The following is a 15824-nucleotide window of genomic DNA, read 5'->3' as shown; positions in this document are numbered from 1 at the left end:
TCATCAGAAGATATTTAACATTACCACAGTGATGAAAAAGTTAAGCCTTGTTGTTAAAGTCTTAGGGATAAAGATTTATAAAATTAAATTCAATAACTCTCTAGGTGTCTGTACAGAAATGAAAACATTTAGGAAGATTGCAGGGAGTTTTGCCTTAATTCATGGTCCATTTCCCAAAGATCCATCTTAACAATCCTTTCTTGCATGAGGGTAGTGAAGAAAGGGAATACAGCTGTTCTGTCTTCGAACATCTCTACGGCTTAGCTGGCTCATCTATTAAAGAAATAATAAGAAACTAAAAAATTAAGATGGTGCTGCTCTCTATGGACGCTTAAAGTGCTTTGAAAGATTGCTTACACTAGACCTCTTTTCCCAGGCTTGGTTTTTACTCTAAACACTTGTTTATTTTATAAACTTGTTATCGGCAAGGTGTAACAGAAATCAGAGTGACATTACTGTGCTGGGCAACGGCAGAAAGAGGAAGAGCCCGCAGAGATTAATTTTTAAGAGCTTCTGTGAAGTTCACGGGCAATACACTTCCAGGATCCAGTTCAGAGAAACAACACTTGCTCTTTTCAAGTCCATAACTGGGTCCCATCCTCATCCCAGCATATACCTTCCCTTGATGGCTCCAGGGAGAAGCAGGCTGTGAACAGGACAGGTGAAGGGGAGGAGCTGAGAAGGGAAACATACATTCTATCCTCCAAAGTACTATTGAGGAACTTTTCCATCTTTCAAGCATCCAGAAGGAGGGAAGAAGGAATGAACTTACCTCACCTGATTTCACACTGAAATCCCTGAGTATTAGCTTACCTCCATTTTTCTGGATATATAATTAACACTTGCCTACTGATTTTCTAGTATTAAAGGCAATAATAATTAGCAAATTTATTCATTAGTGTTAGGTTTTACCTTTACACTGTCATAATACATTATATATATATATGTAGGCATATATACACATATATGTGTATACCTATATAAAGCATTATATAGCATCTACCTATATAAAGCATTATGTTAGTTAATTATATTTGCATATGTCTATGCGTTCATTACCCTAGTTCAGAAGGGAAAATATGCCTGAATTAACAATGATGGAATATGTAAATCCATAATACTATCTTCTGTTGTAGAACCTGCTCTTAAATCATATTTTCCCCAAATGGCAGTTTTTAATAAGTTATTATTAATGAGGTACCTTTAATTAAAATAAGGATGATAGACAACGATTCACTGATAAACATTTTTGAGCATCTGCCATGCGCCAGGAACTCTGTGAGGCTCTGGAAATGCAAACACATTGCTTGCCTTTTTGAGGCTTAGAGTCATCTGCTTAAGTTATCATTTTGGCCAGATAAAGATGATCATCATTAATGAATAGTTTTCTTTACATTTAGGATAATCATCCAAGTTCAGCCTTCAGAATTAACGAATGTACAAAATGACTTGACAAATCTTTTAATAGAACCAAGTTGGGAATGAAGGAATGAATGAATGAGTGAATGAATTGCTTTTTAAAAAGACACAAAGTTGCTATAAAGAGTATTAGTGCAATCTAACATCAATGTGGGCTGATTACTTTGCAGTTATTATAAAAGTTTTTAAAGTAAGTCAGCTTTGGTCACAAGTTTATTCAATTACATGCTGGTTATTTATAATTTCTATTTATATAAAATCATACTTTAAAATGAACACCCTGATGCAATTTTAAAATTTAATTCAAGCAAAAGTAGGTTAAGTAATACGTCAACTCTTTTTACAAACTCTCAGGAGAAGACTTTTATTCACATTCTTTCTACAGCTGACATAAATCTCCCGGGCCTAGCGAAGGGCCAGATGCTCAGTCAAAAGCCTTTTACAAGGTCTGCTTCGTAGCCTGCAGTTTTGGACATAAAATGAAGATCAGGGGAAGAACACTTCCTAAGGTTGAAAAACCATACTGTCACTTTATACTTTCTTCCAAAGACATTACTCATTTTTACCTTGGGAATATATAAGCAATCTCACCCAACATTATCAAAGGCAGTGCATAAATATTGACGACAAATGAGGCTAACTTCATCCCTACAACTGTGTCATATTTCCAAAATGAATAAGGGATATATGCATCTTTTTAAAAGGAATCTTGTACATAACACCATTCCTCTCTTTGCCACAGTTCTCCTCTGCCCTCTGTGCACATTTGCTGATTGTATTGATGTGAGAGGGAACTGCAAGCACTGGAGATGGAAGAATGGTCCCCTGAAGGCCAGTGCAGCGGTGGTAGAGAGCTGGTGATTTAGAACTTACAAATCTGACTTGAAAAAAGGCTACGGTATCCCAGATTTCCCTATCTCTATCAAAGTGGCCCTTATCCAGAAATTCAGATTATGACATCTGTCTATTGCATTTACTGGAAAACAAATGATCATTTGTATAATATTTACCTATATCATGTATATATCATTGCAAAGTAGAGTGGCTGGCTTATAGCAGTTAGGGATAAAGTAGACTCAGGCAATTTCTTCATGCAGTTAAAATTTTTTTAATGACCTTTGATTCAATTCAATCGAAGAGACATTTATAGGGAGCTGATTATATGCAAGGAATCATCTTCATATAACTTTATATCTGATGTCAAATATGGAATAGCAACAAATCTAACATCTTCAAATATGGGATGGCTGATCAAACAATGAATTAATTTATGTCTTGACTGGACAAAATAAGGCTTTGGACAAGCTTTTCTGCCAGAAGTCACAAATCTCTTCAGCGATACATTTTCATAAAAATAGTCAAATATGGTCAGAAGTACAAAGAATCTTCAGACATCATAAAAAGTTACAGATATTACAGTTGCCTCTCTGTTGGGTAACTTATTTTGTGATTTACAACGGATGAAGGGATGACTTGTGACTTTTTGCTCTAAGAACCGAATTTAAATTTATGACATTTCTTGCAGTTAATCTTTATGACCTGTGTTTTAAGACAGACATAGATGCATTTAACCAAAAGTTATAGTTAGAATATTTGTGAAAGAATTTTACTCGTGAATTTATAGATACAAACTGAAGTTTTATAATTAAGAGCTTTTTAAGGGAAGACATTTTAAAATAAAATATTTCTTAAAATTAGATTTATTATACTCATCAAGTAAATGATATTGTCTTAACAGCAACAAATAGAGTTGATTTAAAATCAGATCAAATGGTATAGTAAGCAAATATTACATTTGCGAATTTTTCCCTTTCAAAACTTCCTCTGATTTTAGGTTTGAACATCCTTGGGAAACATCTAACACTAAAATTTTTAAATATTTTATTATGTAGAAGGGCATTAAAAATAGTTTACAAAGCTTCTATTTTCCATTATTCCTCAAATTTGCATTTCTTGATTTTTTTTACTCTCTCCAAAGCTTTAACAGATAAAGTATCTCAGCAGAAGACCTAATTGGAAATAAATGAGCTCATAGTTATATCTGTTATTGCCTTCATACCTTCTTTAGCTGCCAGAATGTTCTATAAATGTTCACTGATAACTAGTTTAGTGGGCTTGCCTCATCACACAGTACATAAATCACTACTGATTTAACTAAGTCATTTGGGCTTTGAATTCAGTACTCAGTACACACACACGTGCACATACACACACACACACAAAATTATGTTTTGTGGAATTTAAGGACAGTGTTTAATAACATGCTGGTATAGCGTGGGTAGTTTTTAAAGTGGGTTTGGTTTTGTCCTCCACATTAGCAGTGAGAAGTTTCTGTGTATTTTTTCACATCTAAAAATACCAGTAGAAAGCAGTATTTCTGAGGATGGTTAAGTAATTTAACAGATGAGTTATAATCTATTTGTTTTAACTGAAATAACAAGTACATCAGTTGAAGGGTAAATAAATATCCTCTTGTTTTCTGAAACTTATCTGTATCATCAAGCGTAACTTTGAACTAGTAAGGAAACAATCACTTTCTCCACATTGACCCAGGAAGCTGCACTACCTCCCTCTGAGGAGATAACAGTATTGTCCAGAATAATCAGGCAAGATCTTGAAAAGATAAATCCCAAGGAGAGGATGAAAATGACAAGAACTGCATGCTTTCCTATGCTACAACCGCAGCTTGCATCTGTCTCACAGAAAAGACAAAAATATGAATAAGAAAGGAGATAGTGAATGAAGCATGAAAATCTAAAGAAAACCAGATCACAAGGAGATTTCTTTTTTCATTTATTTTCAGGAAATACATAAATAAAAACTATCATAAAAATTAGCCTGTTATTTGTATCAGGGTAGGGGGAGCGGCACTTACATACAAAGAGGAAAAATACTTTAAAAATTATTTAAAATACCTAAGAGCTTCAGTTTCCTGTTAAGATGATTCACTAGCCCAGGTGAAATGAGAATGAAGCAAGAATTTGATAACAAAGAAAAATAACAAACACCTCTTTGAAAGGGAGTCTAGAGCTATTGTGAACTGGTCTGACCAGTGGTAGCCACGGTCAGGGATAAGTGGAGTTGGGGGAGGGGAGTTGTTGGAGGCTATTTGAGAGGACAGGCTGAAGGAAAATATTTTCGTTTTCCTCCTAACTCTCCCCTGTCTTCCTCTAGGGCAATTATTGGTTGTTCCTTCCTTGTTAAGGATGCTAAGCCCAGGCCCAGGATTCAGATTGCTAAATTTCTTGGGAGAAAGGAGGAAAAACTGTATGGAGTTACTGGTCACATGTGGCATTCACTCCTCCACCCTACTGTCTGTCAACCTTCAGCCTTGATGACATATAACGGAGGAAGATGTGCTTCCTCCCTGTGCTTTTATGCCTAAGAGAGTTTAGGGGGTGAAATTCTGACCAGGGAAGTTACCTGGCTACAAAGGGAAGTGACCAAAAGTGGTTTCTTCATGTTTGGAGCACATTCTGTCCCTTCTCCTTGGATTCACCTGAAAGGACTGACCTTCCCCAAACATCATACTAGCTGGAATAAATAATGTCTGCAGGAGGACTTAAGCTCAAAGGACAAAATAGAGAATGCACAAAAAATACAGCTACTTCAAAAGAAAGGCAACAAACTGAACAATATATATCATGCTACCAAAACTGATAGATGAGGAATTTAAAATAAGCATGCCAGCAATATACTCAAGGAAATAATGGAAGATAGTAGCAAAATAAAATGTGAAAAAGAAGTCATTAAAAAGAACAAAGAGGAAATATGGTAAAAAATATCAGAAGTAAATAAAAATATACATAGTTTTTAAGTGAAGGGGCATGAGCATTTAAGTTATACATGCAGCATTAAATAAATAACTGAAATACAAGAAACAACGGATGAGACAGCAACAAAGCTATAGCGTAAGAAGGATTTTGATATAATTTGGATATTTGCCCCCTCCAAATCTCATGTTGAAATATGATCCCCAATGTTGGAGGTGGGGCCTGCTGGGAGGTATTTGGGTTGCAGGTGTGGATCACTCATGAATGGCTTGGTGCCTTCCCTGTGGTGAGTTCTCCCTCTATTAGTTCACAGGAGAGCTTGGTTTAAGAGCCTGGCATCTCTCTTGCTCCCTCTCTCACTATGTGACATGCCTGCTCCCACTTTGCCTTCCACCATCAGTGGAAGCTTCTTGAGGCCTCACCAGAAGCCAAGCAGATGCTGGTTCCATACTTGTACAGCCTGCAGAACCATGAACTAAATAAACATTTTTCTTTATACATTTCCCAGCCTCACGTGTTCCTTTATAGCAATGCAAAAACGGACACAGATTGTACGATTCAAAAGATAAGATTGAAGAACTGTCTCAGAAAACAGAAATGCTTCCAGAAAGCAGATAAGAAAAGCCAAATAATATAAATAGAAATGGAAGGATCAAATCTGGTCAACAGGAGAAGGAAGAATAAAAACAGTGAGCAAAAATATTTCAAGAAATCATGAAAACAAATTTTTAGAATTAAAGATTAAGGACATCAGACTCAAATTGAAAACACTCAAATAATAAAAGAAATAAATCCAGGAGGGCATTGTAAACAATGTGGGGAAGTAAGGATGGTAAGTGTCTTGATAAAGTTTTGTTTTGTTTTTGAGGAAAAAAAAAACCAAAAAAGGGAACAAGTGATTATTTCAACTAAAACTAAAAATCTACATTGTGATAATGGGATTTGGGGACATGGTACAGAGACCAAAAGAGTCTTGAGAAGGCAAGGTTGGGAAGCAGATAGAGATATTGAAAAGTCTAAGAAATCATAGGAAAACATAAACAATGAGTGCATGTTTTAAATTAACAGTGACCACTGTATGTTATATAGGTAAAGAATGTACAACTTTTAAACTTACAGAAGAATATGTAAGCTTTTCAGTGAAAAAGCAAAGTTTAAGAGGAGAAAAAGAAAGCATACTAAATAAAAAAATAAGATGGCAGAAATAAATTCTAAAATTTGCTCATGCCTTCTTCTTGAGGTGGAAGATTTTCCAAAATTCAAAATTCAGTTTATGAAGGTAAATTCTGAAAAAAATCAAGTTCAGTCATTTTCTAATCTGTTCAAACTATGAGGGACCCTATGCATTCTTTCCATTTCTATTTCCTCTTTTTGGTATGCAGAACAATAAAATACTGTAAAATCAAAATTTCTTTCAAATTTATCAAACATATTGTCACTAGATCTCATTTTCAGCCAAGTTGACCTGAGCTACCTTTTATAACTTATTAAACTTTTTGGGATTATTATTGAGTTCTTCCCTGAAATCTTCCCTATTATCCTTTATGTCATAGCTTGCTATATTAGGCACACTTGAGAGCTTTATTTTTCACTCAGCAAATATTCCATATTGACTGGTGTGATGAACTAGCATTATGCTTCCTAAGGGTGAAGCAAAAAGCACAAAGGCAAAATTGTATTTTCATTTGTTGCCTTGACTATATTTTTCTTGAATAAGTGAAAAATTAAGAAAAACAGAGTATAGCTGTGAACTAGCTCTGTAATAAGTAGATCAAAGAATTGAACTATCATGATGAATTGAGAAAAAAGAATGTAGCCTTTGTGATCCCTAGTGAATTAAGCTGCTTCCAGTTCATTTTTAAACCTGCACCTATTAAGTGAAAATCTTTTCTTGCGGCAATAAAAAAGATGTGATCCTTGTTCAATGGGATTTGATAACCATAAAGGTGGGAAAATGGCAGCCCAACTCACTTTACTTTACTTCAGTGTACTTACGTGAAATAATAGCTTCAACCGAGAGCTTACCTTGACAGTGAAGCGTTTTTTCTTTGGTGGATTCCAAACTGTGCCCGTCGAATGAATGAATGCACGCAAAGGGGTTAAGGACGTCACCAACACATACGCTTTAAGAATCACAGATAGATCTTCGGCTCGAAAGATTGTTTCATGTGGAGCAAGGACTGTCGTTTCATTCCTAAAAAAAAAAAAAAACATAGTTAGCGCTCCATAATGTAGGGTTGAGTACATAATTTGTAAATTACCTACAAGCTTTGTAAACTGCTTCTATCCTTTGTAGGACGCCAGCCCTCAGTGTGTGGGTTTCCTTGAACAATTTCAGTTGCTTATTAGCATCACCACCAGGTGGTGGAGAGGTACAGCGAGAAGGAGTCAAATTGGTAATAGTTCCCCACTCTGGCAGATTTAATCAAAGTATTTTTAAAAAGTAAAAAAGGTGGCTGAGCGTAGTGACTTATGCCTATAATCCCAGCACTTTGGGAGGCCGAGACAGGCGGATCATGAGCTCAGGAGTTGGAGACCAGGCTGGCCAACAGGGTGAAACCCTGTCTCTACTAAAAATACAAAAATTAGCTGGGCATGGTGGCATGGGCCTGTAGTCCCAGCTACTTGGGAGGCTGAGGCAGGAGAATCACTTGAACCTGGGAGGCGCAGGTTGCACTGAGCTGAGATTGCATCATTGCACTTCAGCTTGGGCAACAGAGCAAGACTTTGTCTCAAATAAATAAATTAATTAATTTAATTAAATAAAAAGGTGGAAAGGTAGTATGTAGAATAAAGTTGAATTTAAAAAATAAATATATAAATTAGTTACAGTACCCGTGACCTCAGATGCATGATACCATTGCAACAAAAGTGATATAAATTACAGTTTGGGTGAAACTTTCTAAAAGCTTCTACCTCTGCCTACCTTTGCTCTATTTTTTCTTCTCTAGAAAAAAATGTTAAGTTTTTAAATAGTGGACAGGTCACCAAGAATATGCGAAAATACTTTCCCCACTAGTTCAATCTTACCTAATGTCCCTACTCCCAGATAATGAAGAGTTAACTTAAGGGATGAAATATTAAAAAATTAAAAAAATTAAAAAAACACCTCAGGCTACTAAGGAAAAGTAACACCAGTTTAATATTTTGTAATGAAACAAATATGCTTTCATCATAAATGATACCAAAATGTATAATTATTTGCTTTTCTACATCATATTTCTAAATGTTAAATATCTAAGTTTGATCAATGAAAGGACTGTGCTTTTATACATATATATTTATATATATATTTATATATATATTATTTATATATTTATATATATTTTTATATATTTTTATATATATATATTTATATATATTTTTATATATTTTTATATATATATATTTGAGACAAGGTCTTGCTGTCACTCAGGCTGGAGTGAAGTGGTGCAATCACAGCTCACTGCAGCCTCCACTTCGAGGGCTCAGTTGGTTCTCCTGCCTCAGCCTCTTGAGTAGCTGAGACCACAGGCATGCACCACTGTGCCTGGCTAATTTTTCTATTTTTTGTATAGATGGATTCTCACTATGTTGCTCAGGCTGGTCTTGAACTACTGGGCTTAAATAATCCTCCTGCCTTGACCTCCCAAAGCACTGGGATCCCAGGCATGAGCCACTGCACCTGGCCTACTTTAAACTTTAAAATTCTAGGTTGGCACAAGATGCATATGATTCTTCAATAAATACTATTAACTGTTTAAATACTACTTAATAATTATAAAATTAGATGAGGCAAACTTATTTGTGTCTTGGGTAAGATAATTAAAACCTCTTAATTTTTAACTATAATTTATCTACATTATAAAATCCTTTCCCTGGAGAAAACTTGGATAACTTGATACACAGCAGATGCTTTCTTAGATGCTAAGAGCCATAAAAAAAATAGCAGAAAAAAAATGCATCCAGCCATATTCATAGTCTAAGGCAAAGTCATTTGAGTATAAAATGGAAGTTAAAATTTTATAGTTTTGCATTGTCAAGGTTTTAAATTCAATTTCCTTTAATGTAACTTATTAGATAAGAGTCCAATTTACCCAAATGTTTATTTTCTGGCAGGACAGGTTTGAATTAATCTAGGAGAAAGTCAATGATGGCATTCTTTATTTAAAAAGGATAGCTGAAAATTTATGTAAGAGAAACTAATAATTCACACATGTGAACCCCCCATATCTGTTCTGTGCTTTTCTCTTGTTAGCTGTCTCCTACAATGCATGCTGGTTATAACAATTCAAAATGATTAGCTTACAGCTGTTCACGACTCCAGTCCCCTGGTTTCCACACACGTGGCTTCACTGTTTTTAAAAGGTGACTCGAAGTACTCGGCTTTAATTGCATTCCCTGATCCAGACACACAGAGGGACTCACTGGAAGTTGCAGTTCTGAAAAGATTCAAGAGAGCAGAAGACAGTCATTTTATTGTTTCTTTCTGGAACTGCTTTGAAAATAGAGTATGCTGTATTAAACTGCAGGGTACATGAGAAATATGCAACCATTTTTCTCCCCATTCTGAATCAAAAATGGATCCACTAAGTATGAATGCATATTTAGAGAGGCCTTTGTTTGCCATATGTTCTCTTACTACAGAGGAGGAAAACAACTGTAATAATTGATTTCATTTTCTTGCTCAGAAGGGGAGGTAGATACAATGTCTCTAACTGTCCAACATCAAGCTGATCTATCCTACAAAGCTAAGGGATGCATTCTCAATGAGGGGGTGGTGGCTGCAAGAGCAGACTTTTGTTTGTCATGAGAATATTACATAGAAAACTTGAGCTGATTTCCTGACAATACAATGCTGATATACTAAACTTTGTTATGCTTCCTGACCTTGGGAATCTCAACAACAGGGCTTTATTGTCTTATAAAATATTAATTATTGGATTTTAAGGTATATAAAAATAAAGAACAATAATAATGGTTTACTTAAGAACACTCATATGGACATGCTTAAAAATAAAGTTATTGCATATACATGATTACAAAAATCAAATATTACAGAAAGCAATCAAATGAGCAGAAAAAGCATCCTCCAATTCACTTCTATCTAGAACCTCTTCCCACCAAAAACCAATGCTTACGTATTAACTTGTAAGATCTGAATAAGCACATTGGGTCAGATGCATATATTTCTTCAATATAAAAGTTGATGTAATTAATATAAATATCAATGTATCTACATGAACCTATATATGTAGGTATTTCTGTTTGTTTTTTTAATTATCCCAAAGAGGTGTCATAATAATATATGTCTGGCTTATTTATACCTACTAACCCATCCTGGCATCCTTTCCATATCAGCATATTCAGAGTTATTTCATACATACCTCTTAATAGCTTAGGGTGCGTCATTAAATAAATAAATATACATTTGATTTAGCCATTCTTTATTGTTGTGTATTTACATTATTTTTGTAATGTTTTTCTTTTGCTATTTCAAAAGTACTGCAATGAATACTCTTATACATCTATTTTGGTGTACTTTTACAAGTTTGTCTAGTGGCGGATTTGTATTGGTATGTGTAATTGCCAGGTCAATGGTAAACGCACTGCAAATTTGTTAGACATGACCAGATTGCCTCCCAAAATGGTTGCTCCAATTTCCACTCTCTCCAACAGTATTTAGAAGTTGTTTTCTTAATCCCAGGTCACAGTGCTTTATTTTTTAATTATATAATTTATCTAGCTCTCAAAATAGAACAAAGCCTTTAAATTATTTTTCCCCTTTGTGCACATTTCATCAATACTAACATAGTCTAATTTAAAACACTTCACACTCTTAAGTAAAAGTCAGCAGAAGTCAAGCTGTTCAATGTATTCCCGTATCTCATTATTTAGCACAGTGTGATCTTCCTCCAAAAATGATAACTTACTTGTAAGTTTTCCCTTTTAATGAAGTTCTAATACATCATAATAAAGGAAATATTCAAATGGCTTTGGTTTTGGAGGTGATGAATGAACAGCCATTAAGTTAATTTTCTTTTCTTGGGAATCACAACTTTTAAAAAGTTGAAATGTTTATGTAAGCCTTTCAATTTGCAGTAATAAAATACGTGTTCTTAATTAAAATTTTACTAAATAGAGTTATGTTTTCAGAGTCTATTACTAGGACAAGTTTTGTTTCTCCAAAGAGCTGATTTGGAGGCTTCTTTTGTATAGTATGAGAAAAGTATAATTTACTCTGATTTCCCTCTTACCTTGCTGCCAAAAAGCACAGAATTGATTTCAAACCCAAGCACACTTGACATTAAAGAAGCTAGACATATTAAGTTTTGTGCCAAGATAGTATCTCAATGGTTTTGAGGAAGTTGTCAAAAAACATGTCAAAAGAATAAACAATTTTATGTCACTTTTTTCTGGTTTAGCTCAAGTGGAGCTATACATGAAACTGAAGGGGTCCAATACAGGAATTGCCAAGACTATGTCAGATTTCCACATGAATCTCTGAAACTGTGATCGGATAATGGAAATGAATACTGAGCAAAATAATGTTACCTTTATTTTTATATGTATACATATATCAATAAATTCTAGGCTTCCAATTATATTATTCCAGGCTTGGATGTTACTTTTTATTATTCTAAAAGAAAAAAAAAAACCTCTGTAATTAGCTGTCCCCTCTAAAATTATTCTCATTTAACTTGATTATAGCCACAACTTAGATATAAGCTTCATTTATATCTTTAAAAGCTGCAAATGCATTTTATGGAATTTTATAAATAATCGTGTAAACATTTCAGTGTCCTAGGCTATCATTTAACAGATAAAGGTATGTCTGGAGCACTATTTCTTGTATCTGTTGGCATAGCCTTCAAGGGCTCTCTCAACAGTCCAGTCTAATCCATTTATTAATCCATCCCCCTTCTCCATAGCCCAACCAACACACTCAAAGAGCCTAGAAATCTCCTACAAACAATGCTCAAACGACCTTCTGTTTTTGGAAGGGATTTGGGTGATGAGGCTGTATGACACAGTCTTCCAAATAGCCTAGTTCATTAACATATACTTGTTAAAAATGTTAAAGTAACTTAATATGGAATACCTAGGCATGACTCTTTAGGGCTTTCCTGCCCGCATAATATGCAAACTGAATGGAAAATAGATTAAAATGTGAAATACCATATGGTGGATAGTGCTGTACTTTTATTTATTGGCTACTCTTAGCTTATTTTAGAGAGCCCTGAAGCCTGTAACTTTATGATCAGTAAAGTTTACCCAGAATAAAAGTGAACAATTTGTTAGGGATGCATGAAGCCTGCTTTTCAATATCTTTTAATATCTGGTTGGCTAGATACTGAGCGCCTGCTTATGGGGAAAAAGCATTATGAAAATGATGATTAAACCAGAAACAGGAGACCTGGGCTTTCGTTTTGGTTCTTGTCTACCAACAATTAATAGGCTTGTGACATTGTTAGGAAGCCTTCTAAAATCCAGAATGTAAATCCCATGAATCTTCTGAACTTCCCATATCACTGAACACTATACTGACTAAAATAAGCACTCAAATAAGTGCTCAGGAAATATTTGAAATATTTGTTCTAACAATGAACTTGTTTTGGAGGTTTAAGCCAATCTATGGTTAGAGAACAAAATCATATTCCAATGAATTAAAAACATTTTATTCGATTACTTCTTTCCCTTCTATGTGACATATGAGTATATACACCACAGTCAAATATTAAACACTGAAAAAACACTTACACTGGCAAAGATTAGATGCCAAATTCATATTGCATTTGATTTAATGTTTTGCCTTACAACTAATAATTAATAGGGAAGTAATAATAAAAGTATAATTATATTTCACAGATGTTTGAATATTGTCTTGCATTTTGATATTAGAAAATTAGATTTAGCCAGCATTTTCTTATTTTAAAATTTTCAATAAAGATAAAGGCCTTACTTAATAATTCGCAATTAGTTTTGAGATTAGAAGTATAAATAAGTACCATTTATGAGTACATTAATTGTTCCTCCTGCCTGAGGGCATTGATAAGTCTTAGAACTTAGCCTACAGGTATAACAGCTCTGCAAATATAACATCAGAACTTTCACATATAGCAAATAGAAACTAATATATGCACAAACTGAAGTCACAGCCAGGAAATCACTCTATCAGTCAGGGCCCCAGAAGACAGCAGAGTCAAAGGAGTAACTGAACAGACTACCAACCATGAGACTATTAAAGAAGGGACTGTTAACAAACACATGGGTATAGTTCAGGAAAATCAACAAGGGGTAGAGGAGCTCCCCAGGGCCGACAAAATGGGAAGCTTTTACCACTCTTAGCCCAGGAAGGAGAAGTTTCCAGAACCAGGCAAAAGCATTGTTATAGGAAAGGCCATTAAGAAGACTATGGCTACAGGTAGAGGAACACAGCCACTTTCAAGCCAGGGTCCAGAGGGGAAGGAGCCTGGCAACAAATATTCCCAAATTATTTCCTCCTGTCCTCAATCTCTTGCTAGATGCCAGGGGACAAGGTTGCCCTGTGGATGCAGTCTGTGGAGGACGGCTCCCTGGAGATGGGTGTAGAGTGAATCTGAGGGGCAAATAGAGAATATTCAGCACAAACTCTACACTGTACTTGGTAAATACAAGTTTTGGCCCTAGTCTTCTCAGTAGCCACAAGTCCTGGAGAAACAAACAAACAACTGTGTGTGTGTGTGTGTGTGTGTGTGTGTGTACAGAAAAAGGGAGCAATATTAGCTTTGATTTCAAATAAGAGCATTTAGATGTGGCAGCAAGGGATAGCATAGGTTGAGCCACATAAAACTGCCTTTTGTTAGGTAAAAAAAAATTGTTGAATGTTGATCAAATATCAGCAATTTCATAATGTTCAACCTAATTTTTTTCCTTCACCATGATGCCTACGGTGGGGAAGAAAGAGTGACTAAACATACTACTGTGAAAAACAGTTCCAGTGTCTAGAATGTCAGTAGGTAGAAATGGCAAAAAGGGGACCTTGAAATCACTCAATGAGTGTTCGTCTTGTGCTTTGAAAACAATAGAAGCCTAGTCTAAGTTGTGCCAGTTGCTAGAAGAGAACAAAAATCTTCAGCTCTGAATCTGTTTTCTCTTTGTATGATGATGAAAAAGTCTAGCAGCAAGTAGACTAAAAGAATAAGTAGATGGTGTCTAAGGTCCTTTGCAATCTTGAATCTCTGTGACCCTAGATACAAAGTTATGATTTAAATATGTGCTATAAATGGCCTAATGGAGAAGATAAGTGGCCAGGGTCTCAGCACCAGAGCTGAAATGCAGTCCCACTGTTAACTTCTCATGTTCTGGTCATTATGAGTGCTCCACAGGGTCAATCAGCTCCAATTTCATTTGAGTGAGGCTCAATAAGCCTCGTGGGAAGAGGCTTTAGCTGAACAAGCTCCTACCCCCTAACTACTATTTGAGGAGCATCAACCACCCTTTCACCTCTTAAGCAGTGTATAAAATGGTGAGAAAACATATCCCAAGGTAGAGTCAAGTTTACAAGCTTGATCACCCATTGGAAGTTAGAAGAGAAGGGTTATTTTGAATGCATCTAAGGGTATTCTCAGTTCACTAGACTATAAGCTCCATGACGGCAAAGATTCTAATTTTTTTTTCTCCACTGAATGACTAGTGCCAAGCACCAAACACATCCTGGCACTTAATATAGGATCTCAGATAAATCTATACTTAATAAGTGAACTCCACTTCTTCTTACCCAAATAACCAGATGTATGTACAGAAATGAAAAGAGTAAACAAGCCAACTGCTGAGCAACTTCACTGGATTTGTATAAGGCAAACTTATTGTTCAGACCTAGGAAATGTGTATAACATGGGTGGGGATTGGTTTTCTCTCGCTACCACAATGTAGTGTTAGATTGGCACAATACTACGTACACAAGAGTGGGTTGCAACAATGGCACCAAGGCAGTCCCAGGAAGGGATCCACAGCTCATAGATTAACTATCTAAGACCAAGAGGCCTAATATCAGCAAAGCCCCCTGGAACCCACAATGAGCATGGGAAAGCATAGGAGAGAATGTCACCAGCAGACAGCCAAAAGGAAGGCTGCTCCTTACAAGGACACTGAGAAAGTTAAGGATTTAGAGGCCTAGGGTTCATTTGTTTTACCAAATTGCCTGAACTTGGGCCCAAGATGATGTGGGGGAAACCAATAAAGATGCATAATCTAATTTGTCCAGCACATTATAGATAGTTGCTAAATAATATTTTTCCAAAAATATTTTACAAATAATATTATAAATAACATTTTAAAAACACGAATTTCTGTTTATTAATAGATGCCTATATAAGTGTAATCATGAGTCAATTTCTTTACTTTTTAAAATTCAGTCTCTTTATCTGGAAAATTAGAATAATAAGAATAGTAATACTAAGAACTTACCTCATGTGGATGCTGACAGAATTAAATATGAATTTCCCTTAAAGTGCTTTGCACAGCCTTTGACTTATATGCTCAAGAAGTGTTACACAGTTGCTACTATTAAATAGTAGTTTAATATAGATTTTTTAATAATCTAGAAATCTTGTTTCTAACTTCGGAAATTTCAAAGAGTAGCTACAATGTTATTCCTTTTGAGTTTAACAC

At 35.2% G+C, this 15824-nt stretch overlaps 1 protein-coding gene across 5 annotated transcripts in view; it reads right to left on the bottom strand.

Annotated features, from left to right (window-relative positions):
• The window catches only part of CPED1 (cadherin like and PC-esterase domain containing 1), a 308732-nt gene that overhangs the window by 190131 nt on the left and 102777 nt on the right, over positions 1–15824 (bottom strand). For all 5 annotated transcript variants that reach the window (NM_024913.5, XM_047420856.1, XM_047420857.1 and 2 more), the window contains 2 exons: positions 9481–9613; positions 7218–7386 (listed from right to left, as the gene is read on the bottom strand). In NM_024913.5, the coding sequence (NP_079189.4) occupies positions 7218–7386; positions 9481–9613 (302 nt within the window). The remainder of the gene's footprint in view (positions 1–7217; positions 7387–9480; positions 9614–15824) is intronic.

The sequence above is a fragment of the Homo sapiens genome, chromosome 7 (assembly GCF_000001405.40).
Source record: "Homo sapiens chromosome 7, GRCh38.p14 Primary Assembly".
Lineage (NCBI taxonomy): Eukaryota > Metazoa > Chordata > Mammalia > Primates > Hominidae > Homo > Homo sapiens.
The sequence above is the reverse complement of the archived record's forward strand: the minus strand, read 5'-3'. Positions and strand labels throughout refer to the sequence as shown.